The 20846-nt window shown below is 38.8% G+C and overlaps 1 protein-coding gene across 4 annotated transcripts in view, besides 1 other annotated feature; it reads left to right on the forward strand.

The window, feature by feature from the left end:
- The window catches only part of CPSF2 (cleavage and polyadenylation specific factor 2), a 50177-nt gene that overhangs the window by 18708 nt on the left and 10623 nt on the right, over positions 1 to 20846 (forward strand). For 3 of the 4 annotated variants that reach the window (NM_001322272.2, NM_017437.3, NM_001322271.2), the window contains 8 exons: positions 1488 to 1675; positions 2328 to 2618; positions 13682 to 13782; positions 14447 to 14647; positions 15803 to 15955; positions 16983 to 17208; positions 18307 to 18606; positions 20436 to 20570. In NM_001322272.2, coding sequence (NP_001309201.1) covers positions 1488 to 1675; positions 2328 to 2618; positions 13682 to 13782; positions 14447 to 14647; positions 15803 to 15955; positions 16983 to 17208; positions 18307 to 18606; positions 20436 to 20570 — 1595 coding nt within the window. The remainder of the gene's footprint in view (positions 1 to 1487; positions 1676 to 2327; positions 2619 to 13681; positions 13783 to 14446; positions 14648 to 15802; positions 15956 to 16982; positions 17209 to 18306; positions 18607 to 20435; positions 20571 to 20846) is intronic. The other variant, NM_001322270.2, reaches the window with a different exon arrangement.
- Positions 17024 to 17225: a silencer, noted in NCBI's record as "fragment chr14:92624044-92624245 (GRCh37/hg19 assembly coordinates)". NCBI's record gives its function as "represses an EF-1alpha promoter that drives an FKBP-Casp9 reporter gene in an ReSE screen in phorbol 12-myristate 13-acetate-treated (for megakaryocytic differentiation) K562 erythroleukemia cells {active_cell/tissue: K562(+PMA)}" and the evidence as "EXISTENCE:reporter gene assay evidence [ECO:0000049][PMID:32094911]".

Below are 20846 nucleotides of genomic sequence, written 5' to 3' on the forward strand. Positions count from 1 at the left end.
CTGCCTTGGCCTCCCAAAGTGCTGGGATTATAGGTGTGAGCCACCATGCCTGGCCGCAATCCCCATCTCTACAAAAAAAAAGAAAATTTTTGCCAGACGTGGTGGTACAGGCCCGTAGTTCCAGCTGCTTGGGAGGCTGGGGTGGGAGGATTGCTTGAGGCCAGGAGGTTGAGGCTGCAGTGAGCTATGATCACACCACTGCACTCCAGCCTGGGTGACAGAGCGAGACCCTGTCTCAACAAACAAACAAACTGAAAAACAAAAAAAGTAGCGGCTCTTTAAGTCTTAGTTTTGCTAGAGTTCAGTTTTACCACATATTTCCAAGGGGACTTTCATCTAGAGGAAGGAAATCCATAAAGATATACTTGTTGGAAGGGAATATGATCTATATTTTATTCTATAGGCATACATACATACAAACTATGTATCATACATAGTTGGCCTTTGTAGCTGCTGTTCCACATCTGAGGATTCAACTAACTGTGGATTGAAAATATTTGAAAAAACAATAAAAGAAGATAATGCAATAGTTTAAAAAATATAAGTAAAAAAAAACAGTGTAACAACCATTTACATAGCATGTACACTGTATTAGGTATTATAAGCAATCTAGAGATGATTTAAAGTATATAGGAGGATGTACGTAGGTTATATGCAGATATATTGTTTTTTTGAGGCAAAGTCTTTCTCTGTTGTACATGCTGGAGTGTAGTGGCACAATCACGACTCTCTGCAGCCTCAAACTCCTGGGCTCAAGCAGTCTCCCTCTAGCTTCCCACATAGCTAAGACCACAGGCATGTGCCACCATGCCCGGCTAATTTGTTTATTTTTATAGAGACGGGATCTCCCTATGTTGTCCAGGCTGGTCTTGAACTCCTGGACTCAAGCCATCCTCTTGCCTTGACTTCCCAAACTGCTGGGATTACAGGTGTGAGCCATTGCGCCTGGCCACCATTTTATTTGAGGGACCTGGGCATCTGATGGTTTTGGTATTCGTGGGAGTCCCGGGGCCAGTACCCATGGGTACTGAGGGATGGCTGTATATATAATTATGTGAGTGTATATATGTATGTATATAAATTTGGGAATTCATCATAACGGAGTTCACTGGGGTGGATAGGCGAGACCAGGGTAGCCCGGAAACACCAGGCTGGTTACATTTGGCCTGGTCATACAATTTTCTCAGTGATACACACACCATTTTCTATGTGTATTATGATGTATAAAGTGTTGAGGACTACTGATTTATAATTTTTTAATGAAGAAAGATTGAGAGTTAATGACACTGAATATATGAAGAGATATTCAACAGAATCAAAAGCAGTTGTAATGACCTGAACAAAATTCCTTCATTTTGTACTTGGCCTAGTAGTTGCTTATTTGTAAATTATAGTCTTTCTAATAAAAACAGGGAGATAAAATTATCTTTAATTTTGTAGCATAGTATTGTTACGTTCTATGGGGATTTTACATTCTTGTTTTCTAGCAAATGTCCTGGAAACACTTCGAGGTGATGGAAATGTGTTAATAGCAGTGGACACAGCAGGCAGAGTTTTGGAACTTGCTCAACTTCTTGATCAGATTTGGAGGACTAAAGATGCAGGATTGGGTGTTTACTCATTGGCACTCCTAAATAATGTCAGTTACAATGTGGTGGAGTTTTCTAAGTCCCAGGTTTGTTCTCATGTTGTCACTTGTAATAAGTTTGCTACAGTGATTGGGTCTGTGGAAGTGGGCGTCTTAAATGTTTTTTGGATTTTATTTTTCTCTTGAAGAGATTGTTAATAAGATGATAACTTGGCATTAACCATTTACTGTCCTGTGTGCTTTAAATGTATTATTTAATTTAATCCCTATTTATTCTATTAAGTAGTTTCCATTGTGTCCCTGTTTTAAAGATTAGGCAAATTGCTTCCCTTCTAACTCTTAGTATCCCAGTCTGTAAAATGGGGACAAAAATAGAACCTACCTCATAGCATTGGCATGTTAGAATTCATTGTTCTTTCTTTTAAATAAGCTTTTTGCCTTGAAATAGCAATCTTTGGGAGTAAGATTTTCATTTAGAACATATACCTTGCCTTTTCAAAAAGATTTAAGGTGATTTATATGTGAAATATAATGCAAAATTGGTTTTCTTTGGGATGAAAGTGAGGGTGGGATAATCTAATGGGAAATGGAAGCAGAAAATAAGCTGCTTGTCAAAACAGTACAAATTTAAGCAACCAGTGGGGGTAAAAGATAGAACTTGAATTCCTTGACTATTAGAGAATATATTGAAGTTATAATATAGTATTTCTAATTCTTGTCATCTTTCCCCCCATGTTAGGTAGAATGGATGAGTGATAAATTGATGAGATGTTTTGAAGACAAAAGAAATAATCCGTTTCAGTTTCGCCATCTCTCTTTATGTCATGGTCTTTCTGACTTGGCCCGTGTACCTAGCCCTAAAGTTGTACTTGCCAGCCAACCTGACCTGGAATGCGGATTTTCAAGGGATCTCTTTATTCAGTGGTGTCAGGACCCTAAAAACTCAATCATTCTAACCTACAGAACTACTCCTGGGACTTTAGCACGTTTCCTAATTGATAATCCTTCTGAAAAAATTACAGAAATAGAGGTAAGCACTTGTATGTGAACTTTATCTTAAAACTGTTTGGGGGATACATTGTGCATGATGTAAAAAAATAGTGACCAAAAATAAAACTTGAAATTGTTTTAGGATTTTTATCAGAATTACTCTTGAGAGCCAGGAGTGGTGGTGTGTGCTGTAGTGCCAGCTACTCGGGAGGCTGAGGCGGAAGGACCACTCGAGCCCAGGAATTTGAGGTCAGCCTGGGCAACATGCCAAGACCCACCCCCCATCTCTTAAAAAAAAACTACTGTGGAAGAGAGCCTTTAATAGCACAAATTTCAGAGTTCCTTAACTGGAGGTTCTCATTCTTCTTTGAGATGGGGTCTTGCTTTGTTACCTAGTCTAGAGTGCAGTGGTGCTATCATAGTTCCGTGCAGCCTCAAACTCCTGGGCTTAAAGGATCCTCCTCCCTCAGCCTCCTAAGTAGCTGGAACCATAGACATGTGCCACCATGCCTGGCTATTTTTTTATTTTTATTTTTTGGAAAGACGTTGTCTCATTATGTTGCCATGGGTGGTCTCAAAAGAAATTCTCATTCTTAAACTTTTCCGTGGTACCCTCTAGTTTACCCAGAGGGTAAGCATATACAGGGTTTTCTCAATCTGTGAAAGGTTCCTTTCCTGTCTCTTGCTTAATTTAAATCAGACTCTTTCCTAAAGACGTTCTTTATCCTGTAGCCCCCTGAAGTAATTACTCTTTCTTTCAGTGTTTCATGTACTTTGAATGGAGTACACGTCTTCCTTGTTCTGTATTGCAGCTTCCTAGCTACTTATCTTCCATTTGCAGTTTTTGCCTTCAGACCTGCTGATATGCTGACCCCTCCTTGTTTCTGACATTTAATGATCTCTTGGTCATTCTGTTACTCATTCATCATTTGACCCTGATTCACAGTCTTCCTGTCCACTTGTGTTCAGGACTTTATTCTCATTGACTTTAGCATCCATGTGTATGATCTGTCTGGTTCTTCTCAGTTACTTGGCACCTTATTTCTTAATCTTTTCCTTCGTCTTACCTCAGACATCCATTCCTGCTATCATGCTATCTGCTCCTGTGGTCATTGCCTGTAACCTTCTTATGGCTGAACGGTCTCCAGTTCTCCACCTCAAGCATATCATTCTGAATTTACAGCTGACTTTCCCTATTATTCCCATGACAACAACTCTTCTGTTCCATTGGGACTTTCAGTTCGTGAACCTCACCTTTTACAGTCTGTCATCCTTCCAGCCTTAAACTCAGTGGTCCACAATTAAGCAAAATTTTGCAAATACATTTAACTCTCCTACACTTCTGTTTTAGTTGCCTGGAAAGGCTTTGACCTTAGTTAAACCATTTGCTTGGTTTGTGCCTGTACTTAAGCAGCTTTATGTTTCTGAAGTTAAACATTATGGTGTAGACAGATTTGTTTTCACATTCATAACTTCACATCTCAAAAGGGGACCCCATACCAGTACTCAGCATTTGGTAGGATGTTCCCTTTCTCACGGTAAGGTAATTGTATATCTTCTTTCTCCTCAAACATCCTACAGCTCACTCTCAGCCTTCATTCATAGCACATGATCTTGTCTCAAACTTAATGTAGAAGTCAAAGCAGTGAGTCAGGAATTCCTTTATCTTTCCACCACTAAATGTACTAACTTGATTCTGCATCTGCATTTGCTGCCTTATCTCTTGTTATAGGAACAAGACTATTAGCTCACTAACCAGTATACCCAAAGATCATTTGCTTAATAACCAGCCCATCAAATCTATCGATTTTTCAAAATTAGTATATCATTAAAGTTTGTAGCAATTGATATAGTGGGATGGTTAATAACTGCCAGAGTTGTACAAAGGTTTAGCTGACTAAACCTTAACATAGAACTGTAACAAACCTTAACATAAAGCAGTATCATAAAGCTGCTTCTCATTTTGTCTTTGTAGCACTCATATAATTATTTAATTAGAGACAGACTCTCACTCTGTCACCCAGCCTGGAGTGCAGTGGCACCATCATAGCTCACTGTACCCTCAAACTCTTAGGCTCAAGCTGTCCCTACACCACCCCCTAACCCACTCCACCTTCCAAAGTGCTGGGATTATACATGAACCACTGCACCTGGCCCTTAGCAGTCATTTTAAGGAAAGTTTAGTTTGTTAAAAGCTATGTGGTAGAGATATCTGTCTGCCAACTCTACTTAAGAAAATCATAACATCAGTAACTAAAATCTGAGATATATGTACTATAATTATAGAATTGTTGAGCAAGGATTCTGAGCAAGTATAGCAAAGTAAAATGGTGTCTTTGGGGTTATTTAGTAGCTCAGAAATACAAGGTTAAAAGAACTAAGAAATACTTGAAACAATTTCATCAGATAGGAAATACTGAATTTGAAAATTTTAATTACTAGAAATTCAATTAGGTCTAATAAACCATTTGAGGAATTAGTAAAAGAAAAATGGTTTAAGTTTGGAAAAAAATAGACAATGATGTTTAGAAGCATGCTAAAGAAATGAGAAACAGCCAAAACATCAAATGTTAAGTTTTTGACCTTTTTAATAACTAATGCTGATGCTCAGGGACCTTTTCTTGCTCACCTTCTTAGCGATAGTTCTTTTGCAGTTATCCCTCCTATCTTCATTATCTAGCAGTTTTCCCTCTACTTGATCACATCCAAAACAATTTTTATTCTTCCCCTACTCCCAATACTGTTCTGTCTTATCTCAGACAGCACTTCCCACATATTCAAGCCAAAAATTTGGAAGTTTAAAAAATGTTCACTGAATCGTAATATGTACCAAAACCTACGTTAAGTGTATAGCATGATGAACTTTTACAAAAATTGAATGCACCTGTCTAGCCTGTACCCTGATCGAGAAATAGAATATTTCTGTGGCATGTTGGGCAGATCCAACTAAGGTAAAAAATAGAAATGGTAAAAAAAGAAATAGAGGGCTGGGCGTGGTGGCTCACGCCTGTAATCCCAGCACTTTGGGAGGCAGAGGTGGGCGGATCACGAGGTCAGGAGTTCGAGACCAGCCTGGCCAACAAAGTGAAACCCTGTCTCTACTAAAAATACAAAAAATTAGCCTGGCGTGGTGGTGGGCGCCTGTAATCCCAGCTACTCGGGAGGCTGAGGCAGGAGAATCGCTTGAACCTGAGAGGTGGAGATTGCAGTGAGCCAGGATCGCGCCACTGCACTCCAACCTGGGTGACAGAGCGAGACTCCATCTCAAAAAACAAACAAAAACACATACAGTTCACTCTCTTAACCATTTTTATGTGTACAGTACAGTAGTGTTAACTATATGTACATTGTTGTATGACAGATCTCTAAAACTTTTTCATGTAGCAAAACTGAAACTCTGTACCTATTGGATAACAGCTCCCAGAGAGAGCTTTTAAACATTCATCATTTCATGTCATTCACTTGCTTAAATGGCTCCAAAGCCTTCCTTCTTCTCTTTCAATAAAATCCATGCTACTTACACAGGCTTCTTAGATCCCATATGATCTAATCCCCACCTACCTTCTGACCTTAGCTTATTCCACTTTCTCTATGCCCTACGGTGCATCAGGATCTTTGTACTAGCTGTTCTTCTGCCTATAGTGTTCTTTCCTGGCTTTGCGCATGGCTGGCTCCTGGTCATTCAGGCCTCAGGTTTAACCCCCTCAGGTAGGCCTTTGACTACAGATTTAAAATACCTGCCTGGTTTAGCTGCCCATCACCTTACTTGAAGTATTTTTCCTAGCACTCATCACCATCTGATGTATTTCTTTTTTGTTGTCTTCCTCTTCCCACCATCAACTAGAATATGAATTCCATGAGAAAAAGGCCCTTGTTTTTTGGTATCCCTAGCACCCAGAACTGTGCCTGACATATTGGAGGGCTTCAGTGAGTGCACTGGTTGAATTCATGAATAATCAAAAAAGTGAATATGGAATAAACTAGATTTCTGATTATGTTAGATAAGAAAAGTTTACCAAGTATGGTATTTTTTCATCTATATCTAATGCCCTTCTAAGTCAAGTCTTACTCATTTAGAAAAAGCAAAAATGAACAACGAAGGATTAATAGGTTGGAGTAGATTTGGATTAGAAAAAGGAGTAAGTTGGAGGTAATACGGTGAAGGAGTAGGAAGAAAAATATTTTTGAGTTGGTTATTCTAGAAATCTGTTTCTGAATAAGCCATTAATCTTACATATTTTAAATGAAAAATAAGATGGAGATAAAAATTTATTATAGCAACAGGCATAAACTAAATCACAGAGGTAAATACTTTGTTAAAGATTATTGGTGGGTAAAAGGCATCTATGTAGGTTGCTAACTGTTTTTAAAAAAAACCCACTATTTTCTGAATGAAACTTATTTTCAAATAAGTTATTAGGCAAATGTGAGATGCCAAATATAAACATGTATTTATTTGTTTATTTTAACTTTTTATTTTTTGAGACAGGGTCATGTCATTCCCTGTCACCCAGGCTGGAGTGCAGTTGCATGATCATAGCTCACTGCAGTCTTGAACTCTTGGGCTCAAGCGCGCCTCCTGCTTAAGCCTCCCAATTAGTTCGCACTGCAGGCATGTGCCGCCATGCCCAGCTAATTTAAAAAAAAATTTATAGAGATGGGAACTTGCTGTGTTGCCCAAGCTGGTCTTGAACTACTGGCCTCAAACAATTCTCCCACCTTGGCCTCCCAAAGTGTGGGTATTATAGGTGTGAGCCACTGCTCCTGGCCTTAAACATGTAAATCACCCATTTATTTTATACATGAAAATAATCTGATTTTGGTTTAATTTTTTTGTTTTTACTTGTCTCCCCTCCCCTTACCCCACTGGGCAGCCCCTGAACTAGAATAGTTTCAGAGAGATTCCCCCTTTTCCATTACTTTTAATTTTGAAAAAATTTCAAACAGGAAAGTTACAAAAATATTATACCCAGATTCCCCAATTGTCAACATTTTACTGGATTTGCTTTATCACTTATATACACATAAACACAATATTACTTTTTCTGAACCATTTGAAGAAAAATTGCAAATATTTTATCATTATCTCTAAATATTGCCAGTGTGTGTTACCTAAAAACAAGGGCAATCTCCAGCAAAACTGTGTTACATCCATTGAAATCAGGAAATCAACATTGATACCATCCTACCATTTCACCCATTGACCCCATTCAGCATTCACCTTTTACCGATGACCACAATGTCCTTTATAATTACCCTTTCCTTTTTTGTCCAGGTTCGCATCCATGACTACATACTGCATTTAATTGTCATAACTGTTGACATTTTTGAAGCATATATATTCTGGGTTTTTTTTTTCTTATTGATATACTAATACCTGGTTTTTATTTTATTTTTTTAAAGAGATGGGAGCAAGGTGTGGTGGCATGTGGCTGTAGTCCCAGCTATTGAGGCAAGAGGATTGCTTGAGCCTAGGAGTTTAAGGCAAGCCTGGGCGATATAGCAAGGCCTCTTCTCAAAAAAAAAAAAAAAAGAAAGAAATGTATATATATATATGTAGAGAGAGAGAGATGGGACCAAATTATCATGTATTCCACATACCCTGAGACTTGTATTTTCACTTGAGTCCTTCTTGAACAATGTAAGAAGATATGGGTCTACCTTACATAGTACCTGGTATATTACAAACATTTAAATGTTTTTGGATAAATAAATGTAAGCTTTTTAGTAATTTTATAATAGTACATTGTATATGTGTGCTGTGATTATTTAATCTCGTGGTTCTCAAAAGTGTGGTTTGAGGACGCCTGGGAGTCCCTGAGACCCTTTCAGGGAGTCCACAAAGCCAAAACTATTTTTCATAATACTGGTAAGATGATATTTGCCTTTTCACTGTGCCTACATTTGTACTGATGAGTAAGATCAGTGGTGCATAAAGTGCTTACACCTTGGCCTAAAACTCCACTAGTAGCCACTGCATTTTTCACCACCGTACATACACGTCATTAAAAAAAAAATGCTAGTTTCACTTAAGAATGTCCTTGAGAGGCTGGGCGTCATGGCCCATGCCTATTCCTAACACTTTGCGAGGCTAAGATGGGAGGTTCACCTGAGGCCAGGAGTTTCAGACCAGCCTGGGCAACAGCAACACTCTGCCTCTACGAAGTATAAAGGTATATTAAACAAAAGAAATTTGAAAGAGAATGTCTTTGAGGGGCCAGACATACTGGCTCATGCTTGTAATCCCAGCACTTTGGGAGGCTGAGGTGAGAGGATTGCTTGAGGCCAGGAGTTTGAGACCAGTCTGGGCAGCATAGCGAGACCCTGTCTCTACAAAAAAGAAAAAAAAGTCCTTGAGGGAATAGTAAAAGTTACTAATATTACTAAGTTCTTTCAGTAAAAGTTTTTTTGTTTTTTTTTGAGATGGGTCTTGCTCTGTCGTCTAGGCTGGAGTGCAGTGGTACGATCTCGGCTCACTGCAACCTCCGCCTCCCAGGTTCAAGTGATTCTCCTGCTTCAGCCTCCTGAGTAGCTGGGACTACAGGTGTGTGCCACCACGCCTGGCTGATTTTTTGTAGTTTTAGTAGAGACATTGTTTCACCATGTTAACCAGGATGGTCTTGATCTCCTGACTTTGTGATCCGTCTGCCTCAGCATCCCAAAGTGCTGGGATCACAGGCATGAGTCACTGCGCCTGGCCTAGTAAAAGATTTTTTAAAATAATTTGGGTGACAAGATGGGAAGTATTAATAAAGAATTTGCGTTGTGTACTAAAGTACAATGGCTATCTCCAAGAAAAACACTTGTATGTTTATTTGAGTCGTGAGTTAAACTAGCCACTTTTTTCTGGGAACACCTTTTTTTTGTTGGTATTTTTTTTTTCTTGTGTTTGAGACGGAGCCTTGCTCTGTCGCCAGGCTGGAGCGCTCGGCTCACTGCAACCTCTACTTCCCGGGTTCAAGCGATTCTCCTGCCTCAGCCTCCCAAGTAGCTGGGACTACAGGTGTGTGCCACGTTGCCCAGCTAATTTTTTTTTTTCATATTTTTAGTAGAGATGGGGTTTCACTATGTTGGCCAGGCTGGTCTCGAACTCCTGACCTCAGGCGATCCACCTGCCTCGGCCTCCCAAAGTGTTGGGATTACAGGCGCGAGTCACCGCACCAGGCCCTGTTTTGTGTGTGTGTTTTTTTTTTTTGAGTTTGGGTCTCTGTTGCCCAGGTTGGAGTGCAGAGGCACAATCATGGCTCACCACATCCTTGAACTTCTGCGTTCATGTGACCCTCCTGCCTCAGCCTTCCTACCAGCTAGGACTACGGGTGTGTTTCACCACACCTGTAATTTTTAATTCTTTTTTGTAGAGACTGGGTCTTGCTACGCTGCCCATATGGTCTCGAACTGGCCTCAAGCAATCCTCTCACCTCCGACTCCCAAAGTGCTAGAATTACAGGCATGAATCACTGTGCCCAGTCTGGAACACCATTTTTATGTGAAATAATGACAGGGTTATTCAGATTTGGGTATTTGGCAGACATTTTCTTGAAAATTAATACATTGAGCCTGTCACTCTAAAGAAAACAATTGACAGCATTTGTTGGCTTAAATCTGATAAAATTCTAATTTTCAAATGAAAATTTAGAATTTTGGAAAACTTATACCCAGCACTGTGAGATTGACAACTTAAACTGAAAAGACTTCTGATAAGATTGGTGGTGATATTTACAAATGTGATTTTAAAAATATTGTCAACATTTGTAAGATCTGGATAACTTGGTGAACTAGTATTTTCCAAATAACCAATTAATTATGTTAGAAAATAATGCACAAATTAAAAGATCCATTCAAAATTTAAAATACAGGCTGGGCACAGTGGCTCACACCTGTAATCCCAGCACTTTGGGAGGCAGAGGCAGGAGGATGGCTTCAGTTCAGGAGTTCAAGACTAGTCTGGATAACATAGCGAGACCTTGTCTCTACAAAAAATTAAAAATCAGCTGGGCATGGTGGTGCACATCTGTGGTCGCAGCTATTCAGGAGGCTGGGAGGTAGAAGGGTTGCTTGAACCTGGGAGTTCGAGGCTGCAGTGAGCAGTGATCATGCCACTGCACTCATCGTAGGCAACAGAGTGAGACCCTGTCTCAAAAACAAAACAAAACAAAACAAAAAACAAGAGTGTAAGATACATAAAAAAAAAAAAAAATTAACACAACAGAGTATAAAAAGTCTATTAGTATGGTTTCAGGTTCTGCGTTAAAACTAACCTTGAAGAAACTACCACTTTCTGAGTTTTAATGTAGTATCAAAGAATAATATCCATGAAAGGACTATTTACATATTTTTCCCTTTTCAACTATACATGCGTATAAGCCTGGATTTTCTTCATATACTTTAACCAAAACAACATATTGCAAGAGACTGAATGGAGAAGCAAATGTGAGAATCCAGCTGTCTTCTGTTGAGCTAGACATTAAAGAGATTTGCAAAAATATAGAATAATGCTATAGGCCAGGTGCGGTGGCTCATGACTGTAATCCCAGCACTTTGAGAGGCTGAGGAGGGCAGATTGCTTGACTCCAGGAGTTTGAGACCAGCTTGGGCAGCATGTCAAGACTCGGTCTCTACAAAAAAAATACAAAAATTAGCTGGGAGTGGTGGATGGCTGAAGTGGGAGGATCGCTTGAGGCTGGAAGATTGAGCTGCAGTGAGCTATAATTGCACCACTGCACTCCAGCCTGGGCAATGGAGCAAGACCCTGTCTCAAAAAAAAAAAAAAAAATGCCGTTCTTCCCACTATCTTTTTTTTGCTTTGGAAAATGTAATTATTTTTTGTAAAAATCTGTTAATGTTGCCATGTGGTTTTATTTATTATTTATTTATTATTATTTTTTCATTTTTGAGATGTAGTTTCGCTCTTGTTGCCCAGGCTGGAGCGCAATGGTGCCATCTCGGCTCACTGCAACCTCCGCCTCCCAGGTTCAAGTGATTCTCCTGCCTCAGCCTCCCTAGTAGCTGAGATTACAGGCATGTGCCATCACGCCCGGCTAATTTTGTATTTTTAGTAGAGATGGGCTTTCTCCATATTGATCAGGCTTGTCTCGAATTCCCGACCTTAGGTGATCTGCCCGCCTCGACCTCCCACAGTGCTGGGATTACAGGTGTGAGCCGTCGCGCCCGGCCTATTATTATTATTAATTTATTTATTTTTGAGCTGGAGTCTCACTCTGTTGTCCAAGCTGGAGTGTAATGGTGCGATTATGGCTCACTGCAGTTTCCGCCTCCCAGGTTCCAGCGATTCTCCTGCCTCAGCTTCCTGGGTAACTGGGATTACAGGCATGTGCCACCATGCCTGGCTACTTTTTATATTTATAGTAGAGACGGGGTTTCACCATGTTGGCCAGGCTGGTCTCGGACTCCTGACCTTAGGTGATCTGCCTGCCTCGACCTCCCAAAGTACTAGGATTACAGGTATAAGCCACCATGCCCTGCTGGTTTTATTATTTTTTAAATGAACAGATAAATATTTTAAAAATTGCTCAGTTTTAATTTCTGATAAGGTAGACATTGATAAATATAACCCACAAAAACAAAAAGCTCTTTGGGGTTCTCTAATTTTTAGGAGTCTAAGGTAGTCCTGAGATAAATATATGAGAACTACTGATTTAATCATTCCATTTTGATGGATTTTAAAATTTTGTCCAGTTTTTTACTACTATAAGCATTGCTGCAATGTACGAATGTACTTTTTTTTTACACATTTGTGATTGTTTCAGTAGGATAAATTCCTAGAAGTAGAAATACTGTGTCAAATGTCAAATTTTATTTTTAGATGTTAGCAAATTGCCTTTTAACATAGTTGCACTAATTTTCCAACAGATAATGGAAGAAGGTACTCTTTCCCCATGTATGGCATTGCCAATCTCATAGATGAAAACAATTATGTTTTTTATATTTTGTGCTTTTCAAAAATTAGTAAAATTAAGGATCTTTTCATGGCCAGTAGTTATTTGTCTTTCTTATTTTGTAAATTGCCTTTTTAAGTATCTTGTGCTTTTTCATGTGTTGATCATCCTTTTCTTAACTAATTTGGAAGAGCTCTTAGGAAAAAATCATTTTTATTGGTCGTAGTGCTGAAAATATTTTTCTGTTTCTTTTTTGTTTTTCTTTTCAGTTTCTTATTTTGAGATTTAAAATGTCAAAGGGAGTTTTTCTTTATTCATGTTGCTGTATTTATTTATGTTTCCCATTATGGCTTTTGGGCCTCACCTACTCCAAATTATAAAAATGCTTATCTGTATTTTCTTTTCCTGATTGGTGATTTTTAACCAGTTTGATTGTTTGGTTGATTGAGACAGGGTCTTGCTCTGTCAGACTGAAGTGATCCTCAGTCTCAGACTCAAGTGATACTCAGTCTCTGAGTAGCTGGGACTACAGGTGCATGCTACCACTACTGGCTTTTTTTTTTTTTTTTCTGAGACAGAGTATTGCTTTGTCACCCAGGCTGGAGTACAGTGGTGTGAGCACAGCTCACTGCAGCCTTGACCTCCCAGGCTCAAGTGATCTTCCACTTTAACCACCTGAGTAGCGGGGACAACAGGCACATGCCACCACTCCTGGCTTTTTTTTTTTTTTTTTTTTATGTGGAGACAAAGTCTCATTATGTTGCCCAGGCTAGTCTCAAACTCAAGTGATTTTCCTGCCTTGCAAAGTGCTAGGATTATAGGTGTGAGCCACCGTGCCCAGCCTCCCAGCTAATTTTTAAATTATTCCTAGAGACAGAGTCAACCTATGTTGCCCAGGCTGGTCTTGAACTCCTGGCCTCAAGCAGTCCTCCCACAGTGCTAGGATTATAGGTGTGAGCTACTGTGCCTGGCCAACCAGTTTGATTTAAATTAAACCCATTCTAGATGATGTGTGACAGCTCAATTTTAATACTAATCTAAATAGGACCTATAATTGTATGTAATGGAAACTTGATTAATTTCAGAGGAAACAATCAGTTTAAAGATGATAGAGCAATTTAGAGATGTGATGTATCTCATATCCCACTGCTTTAACCCCCTAATATTAACATATTAACATTTCCTTTTGTCTTTTATTTTTTTTTAGTTGAGGAAACGTGTGAAGCTTGAAGGGAAAGAACTTGAAGAATACTTGGAAAAAGAGAAACTAAAGAAAGAAGCTGCCAAAAAGCTTGAGCAGTCAAAAGAGTGAGTCATTTTCAGACAGATTATAAATTTATGGATGCAATTTGAGAAGAATGTGTCCTTGACTTAAATGTTTCATTGAAAATATTTTTAAATTTTCGTAAGACTTAATTTTGTTACAGACATCTTTCAAATGTCTAGAATACCAGATCCTGTCAGTGCTAATATTATTATGCATTTATTTGTTATGTTTTATAAAATGTCAGTCCAATAAAGTTGAATGTTATTCCAGTCATGCATCACTTAATGATGGGGACAGTTCTGAGAAAAGTGTCGTTAGGGGATTTAGTCATTGTGCAAACATTAGGATATATGTTTACACAAACCTTGATGGTATAGCCTACTGTGTATCCAGAGTATATGATATGGCCCATTGTTCCTAGGCTACAAACCTGTACAGCATGTTACTGTACTGAATACTGTAGGCCATTGTAACACAATGTTAAGTATTTGTGTATCTAAATGTATCTAAACATAGAAAAGGTACAGTAATCTTATGGGACCTCTGTTGTATATGTGGTCTATTGTTGTTGACCGACATAACTGTATATTATCATTTAATATTGAATTAATAATATTGAGTATGGATTCAGTAATAAATTGATAAATATTAATTTAAAATATCTTTGAAACTTTATGACCTTGATCTATTCTAAAATCCTCCTAGGGCAGATATAGATTCCAGTGATGAGAGTGATATTGAGGAAGATATTGACCAGCCATCAGCTCATAAGACGAAGCATGACTTGATGATGAAAGGTGAAGGCAGTCGTAAAGGAAGTTTTTTCAAACAGGCAAAAAAGTCCTATCCTATGTTTCCTGCCCCAGAAGAAAGAATTAAATGGGATGAATATGGAGAGATTATCAAGTATGTGAGCAAAACAAACTTTTCTCTCTTACAAATTGGAGGTATTAACTGTGTTATCATTTCATTTCAGTGAATTTGATCTTTCACTTGATCTTTCTAGTCACATGTATGGGGTTAGCTTCTGAGTACCTCAGCCTGAAGACACAGAAGACTTGTAACTTGAAACATAAAAATAGAGATGCTGAGAAACATCTAGAGAATATTGAGAGAAAACTGGCAGTTTATGACTTAGTTGTGTAAAGGTTTAAAAACATGATCACGTGATCAAGACTTTTTTCCCCCACTTAAAAAGAGAGGAAGATGTAGGATAGGAAGAACTTTGGGGCTGTGTGTGGTGGCTCATGCCTGTAATCCCAACACTTTGGGAGGCCGAGATGGGAGGATCACTTGAGCTCAGGAGTTTGAGACCAGCCCAGGCAATATAGTGAGACCCCCATCTCTATCTTTAAAAAAAAAAAAAGAACTTTGGATGGCTGGTGATTGCATTTCCAATGGATTATGTCTTAAGTATTATACAAGTTTTATGAGATTAAGAGGAATGTGAGATAGCATGAGTGAAATCATGGAAAAATCTACAAAATCTATACTGACTATTAGAAAAACAACTGCAATCACATGTTGTAATTGCAAATTTGAAAACACTACTATCCTGTGTGGAAAATAAAAAAAGAAAAACATGATACAGGCCAGGTGTGGTGGCTCACGCCTGTAATCCCAGCACTTTGGGAGGCCGAGGCAGGTGGATCATGAGGTCAGGAGTTCAGGACCAGCCTGGCCAAGATGGTGAAACCACATCTCCACTAAAAATACAAAAAAATTAGCCGGGCGTGATGGCAGGCACCTGTAATCCTAGCTACTCTGGGGGCTGAGGCAGAGAATTGCTTGAACAGGGAGGCGGAGGTTGCAGTGAGCCGAGATGGCGCCACCACACTCCAGCCTGGGTGACAGAGGGAGACTCTACCTCAAAAAAAACCAAAAAACGCAATACATACAGCCATCTGGTAATTGATATGAAATTGCATCAGCTTTGGATGAAATGTATATTTAAATCTTGAGATATGTGAGGACTCCAAAAATTATGCCACCTACTAGTCATATATGTTATGTAGTATTAGCTTGCTTTTTACTGCTTCTAATTAGAGACTTATTATTTAGACCAGAGGATTTCTTAGTGCCAGAGCTTCAAGCTACTGAAGAAGAAAAAAGCAAATTAGAATCTGGTTTGACAAATGGAGATGAACCTATGGATCAGGATTTATCTGATGTTCCTACTAAATGTATTTCTACAACAGAGTCTATTGAAATAAAGTAAGTGCTTTTGTGACATTTTGAAAATAGATTATAAGATAAAATTTCAAGCATTTGAATTATATAATTTACATTATGTCAAGCAAAATTTCTGAATATTCTTTAGTAAGTTTGTGCTTTTAAAATTTATTTTTGTATGAAGAGACTTGTGAAGTATGGTGGCATGATATTTTCTCTTCATTAATGGTATTTGAATGCCAAAGTAATTGAATTGGTGGTGGTGGGGGGTGCTTAAATTGTAACATTAAATTGTACATTTATATGAAGAAAAATTATTTTTGGCCTTTTTATTCTGTAAGCAGGTGAAAGGGAATAATGTGACTCACAGTTTAATTTTTCTGAGTAACTGCTTGTTTCATAAAATATACTCCTTAACTTAAACATCTCTAAGACCCTAATGTCTGGAAAATACTGTTGTGATCTGAAGTAGTTAGAAACCTTTTTTCTCCCGCTTTCTACTTAGTTAAATAATACCAGTAAGTGATCATTTTGGAATTTCTTTTAAGTCATCAGAGAACAAAGTTTTTTATTTGTCCAGTAATATCATTTAGTATATATTTTTGGGTGTAGATAAAATCTAAATAATACAGATAGGGCCGGGCACGGTGGCTGATGCCTGTAATCCCAGCACTTTGGTAGGCCGAGATAGGCTGATCACTCGAGATCAGGAGTTTGAGACCAGCCTGGCCAACATGGTGAAATCTCATCTCTACTGAAAATGCAAAATTATCCCTGCGTGGTGGTGCATGCCTATAATCCCAGTTACTTGGGAGGCTGAGTCAGGAGAATCACTTGAACCTGGGAGGTAGAGGTTGCAATGAGCGAAGATCATGCTACTGCACTCTAGCCTGGGCAAAAGAGCGAGACCCAATCTCAGAAAAATAAAAACAAAAATAAAATAAATCATACAGATACTATAACATGTGTATTTCTCAAATCCTAGTGTTATATATTGTATACATGATAAAAGCCATTTTTTTTTAGAATTATGAGAAAAGTAATCTTGAATAATCATATCTAATTACAGAGCCCGGGTTACCTACATAGACTATGAAGGACGCTCTGATGGGGATTCCATTAAAAAAATCATTAATCAGATGAAACCACGACAGTTGATCATCGTCCATGGCCCACCAGAGGCCAGTCAAGATCTGGCAGAGTGCTGTCGCGCCTTTGGTGGGAAAGATATTAAAGTGTACATGCCAAAGCTACATGAAACAGTTGATGCCACTAGTGAAACTCACATCTACCAGGTAAACATGCCAGGAGTTGCCATTGAGTAGAAATAAGTACTTTTTGTTGCAGGTTAGGACAGATAACATTAGAAATACCGAGATGTGTGAGACAGACATGGATGGTCTCCTGCCCTAGCAGACCTCATAGGGTATGGGGCTTAGAACAAGGAAATACCATTTATCATGTTGTTGTGCCACTGAGAGAAGAAGTACAGGATGCTATGAGAGTATCAAGAGGGGAAACCACCCACATTTAGAGGTTTAGAAAAGGTTTCCTACAGGAAGTGATAACTAATCCTAACTGATGTTTAGATGGGTTGTCAGGACAGACAGAGTAGGAAAGGGGGGGAAGAGCGTTCTAGGCAGAGGGAACCATATTTGCAAAAGTACAGAGGTGAGGAAAATGATTAAGAATTCAAAAGTTTTAGAAGAATTCCCGGATATCAAGGTTCTACTCCTAATTGGAACAAATGGAGATGGATACCAAATATAGGACTAGCACAGTAGAGAGATAAATTTTGTCTGGTAATGGGAGATGGTGTCAGTTTAAGGCCAGAGTGATGTCTATATCTGGAAGAAATGGATGTGCACATACCAGGCAGGAAATTTATTCTGGGCAGAGTAAGAAGAAGCAACCTTCCAAGAATATGGAGATGTGAAATTCTGTGGTATATTCAGGAAAGGACAAGCAGTTCAGTACCTACTGAAGTATGCCAAGTACTAGAGGATGGGAGTGATCAGTGGTTCTCAACCTTGACTGCACATAAGAATCATCTGGGGAGCTTCGTGAGGGTCAGAGGGACTCAGTTTTTCTGGTCTTAATCTTACCAGTTATGTTAGAAACACTGGATATGACGCTCTGATATACTTTTTGTTTTAATTGCCATGTGATTCCATTTTGTAGTCAGGGTTAAGAATCTCTATTTTGGAAAGTAGGCAGGGGCCCAATGATCTGCAGGTAATGAGGTCATTGCAGGTCATTGTGGGACTCAGATGAGTGAAAGATTTTCCAATTTTAACATATTACCAGAGGTAGAAAATGATAATAGGTTATATTTAATTTGTTAATATGTATTCTGTGGGTTTTATTTCTCTCCCCCTCCTTTGCATGTCTAGGTGAGGTTAAAAGACTCACTTGTCAGCTCTCTTCAGTTTTGTAAGGCAAAAGATGCTGAATTAGCTTGGATAGATGGTGTCTTAGATATGAGAGTTTCCAAAGTGGACACAGGGGTTATTTTAGAAGAAGGAGAACTAAAGGATGATGGAGAAGACTCAGAGATGCAAGTGGAAGCTCCCTCAGATTCTAGCGTTATAGCACAACAAAAGGCCATGAAAAGTCTGTTCGGAGATGATGAAAAAGAAACAGGTGAAGAAAGTGAGATCATTCCTACTTTGGAACCCTTGCCACCTCATGAGGTAAAAAAAGCATGTGCTTTTTTGATTTCTTCCTGAATTTGTCATCCTTCTAGTTTTCATGTCTTTTGGTTTTTTTCCCCCCTTCTAAAACTAAGTGGGTCTGTGGAACCTTTTATATTTTTAACCATTTAAAATATATGTCAGCTGGGGGCAGTGACTCACGCCTGTAATCCCAGCACTTTGGGAGGCTGAGGTGGGAGAATTGCTTGAGGCCAGGAGCTCTACATCAGCCTGATTATAGGGACACCCTGTCAGAAACCTAGTCGGCATGGTGGCATGCACCTGTAATCTCAGCTTAGAAGGCTGAGGCAGGAGGATTGCTTGAGCTCAGGAGTTCGAGACTACAGTGAGCCACAATTGTGCCACTGCATCTAGCCTATATGATAGAGTGAGACCCTGTCTTGAACATAAAATATGTCTCACATTTGGGCTGATTTTGGAGTTTTTAAAAAAGAGAACTTGTGACATGCTTCTGTGTGTATGTCTCTGTGTATATATTAATTCTATATAGCTAAGGAATGACATATCTTTAGCAAATCTTTTAAGGTACATAATTGTTTCATGATTTTTTTTTTTTGGTCTGGATTTTTAAATTTTAAGTTTGATGATTGTGAGGATCACCTGCCTGCTTCCAGTCAGGAGATTTATAGTTTTCTAAGAAAGTCATACTGTTTTTTTTTTGTTTTGTTTTGTTTTTTGAGATGGAGTCTCGCTCTGTTGCCCAGGATTGAGTGCAGTGGTGTGATCTTGTCTCACTGCAACCTCCGCCTCCCGGGTTCAAGCGATTCTCCTGCCTCAGCCTCCCAAGTAGCTGGGATTACAGGCATGAGCCACTGGGCCCGGCTAGTTTTTGTACTTTTAGTAGAAACGGGGTTTTGCCATGTTGGCCAGGCTGGTCTTGAACTCCTGACCTCAGGTGATCCACCCATCTCAGCCTCCCAAAGTGCTGGGATTACAGGCGTGAGCCAATGCACCCAGCCAATAGTCATACCTCCATTTTTTTATGTTATTCAGTTCAAATAACTTTTGGTTTTGATATAGTTAGAAATCTTTAAGTATAGATATAATTTAGTCTAGCATTTACATATTCTTGAGAGGTATCTAGTTAACTAGCAAGATTCTAGGTAATTAAACTTGGAAAAATATTAAAACTATGAATCCTACATGCATGTCAAGTGATGTCTTCAGCCCTACTATGAAATTAAGAATAGAGAGACAGCCTCTGTTGTTGGATTCCCTTCTAGTACAACCCTCAAAATTGGGAGGAGGAATAAGAATATTTTTTTCTTCTGTGCTAAAGCTAATGCTCTTCAAAGTAATGTCAAAGCAGAAAGCAGCAGCATTAGGCAAGAACCACTTTCGTTACTGATTGTAGAACCTATGGCATCCATTACATTTGCTCTGAGGAAGGAGGGACAGGGAAAATGGGATTGGGGAGGAAACGTCTTTTGAAGTAAGCAAATGACTGGGATCTAGAAAATGAATTTTTGGTTCAGTCCTGCCCATGGCACGCTAGTTGACCCCATTATGCAAGTGGGTGAGTGAAGAGCCTAACATTACCAAACGTCTCTGTTATGATGAGGCATGACTAACAAAACTGATTGTGAAACAGAAAATGTGAAGGGCTTTGTTAAATAATGTTAAATAATGGGGTAAAATTTAGAATAACAACTTGGAATGTGATTTACAGTCTTGAAATGATCTGTCAAAGGACTTCAGGGAATAATAGAAAATCTCTTAGAGATAATGTAGTATTTTACTTTATTCAGTACAGTTGTATGTCTGGTGTTTTACTTGAAGTTATTCTTTCCCCTTTGACCTTATCTAAGGTTCCTGGACATCAGTCAGTTTTTATGAATGAACCAAGGCTGTCAGACTTCAAGCAAGTTCTCTTACGGGAGGGGATTCAAGCTGAATTTGTAGGAGGTGTACTTGTTTGCAACAATCAAGTAGCAGTCCGCAGAGTAAGTGTGTTTTCAATAAGGGCTGAATTGAACACATACGTCTGATGTTTTGTCATTTTGAAATTCTGTAATTCTTGTTTGGTATTTTCACAAAACTGAAGATCAGTAATTTATATTCATGATCATGACCTCAAAGGCTTACAGAAGTCTTATTGACTTGAAGGCTTATGAAAGACTCTTGAAGAAATGATATATAATTTTATTGTAAATTTTAATTATTTGAATCTTCTGACATTTATGTCTATGTAAAATTCATGACTTCAATATTATATCCAT

Source organism: Homo sapiens, chromosome 14 (genome assembly GCF_000001405.40).
Source record: "Homo sapiens chromosome 14, GRCh38.p14 Primary Assembly".
Taxonomy (NCBI): domain Eukaryota; kingdom Metazoa; phylum Chordata; class Mammalia; order Primates; family Hominidae; genus Homo; species Homo sapiens.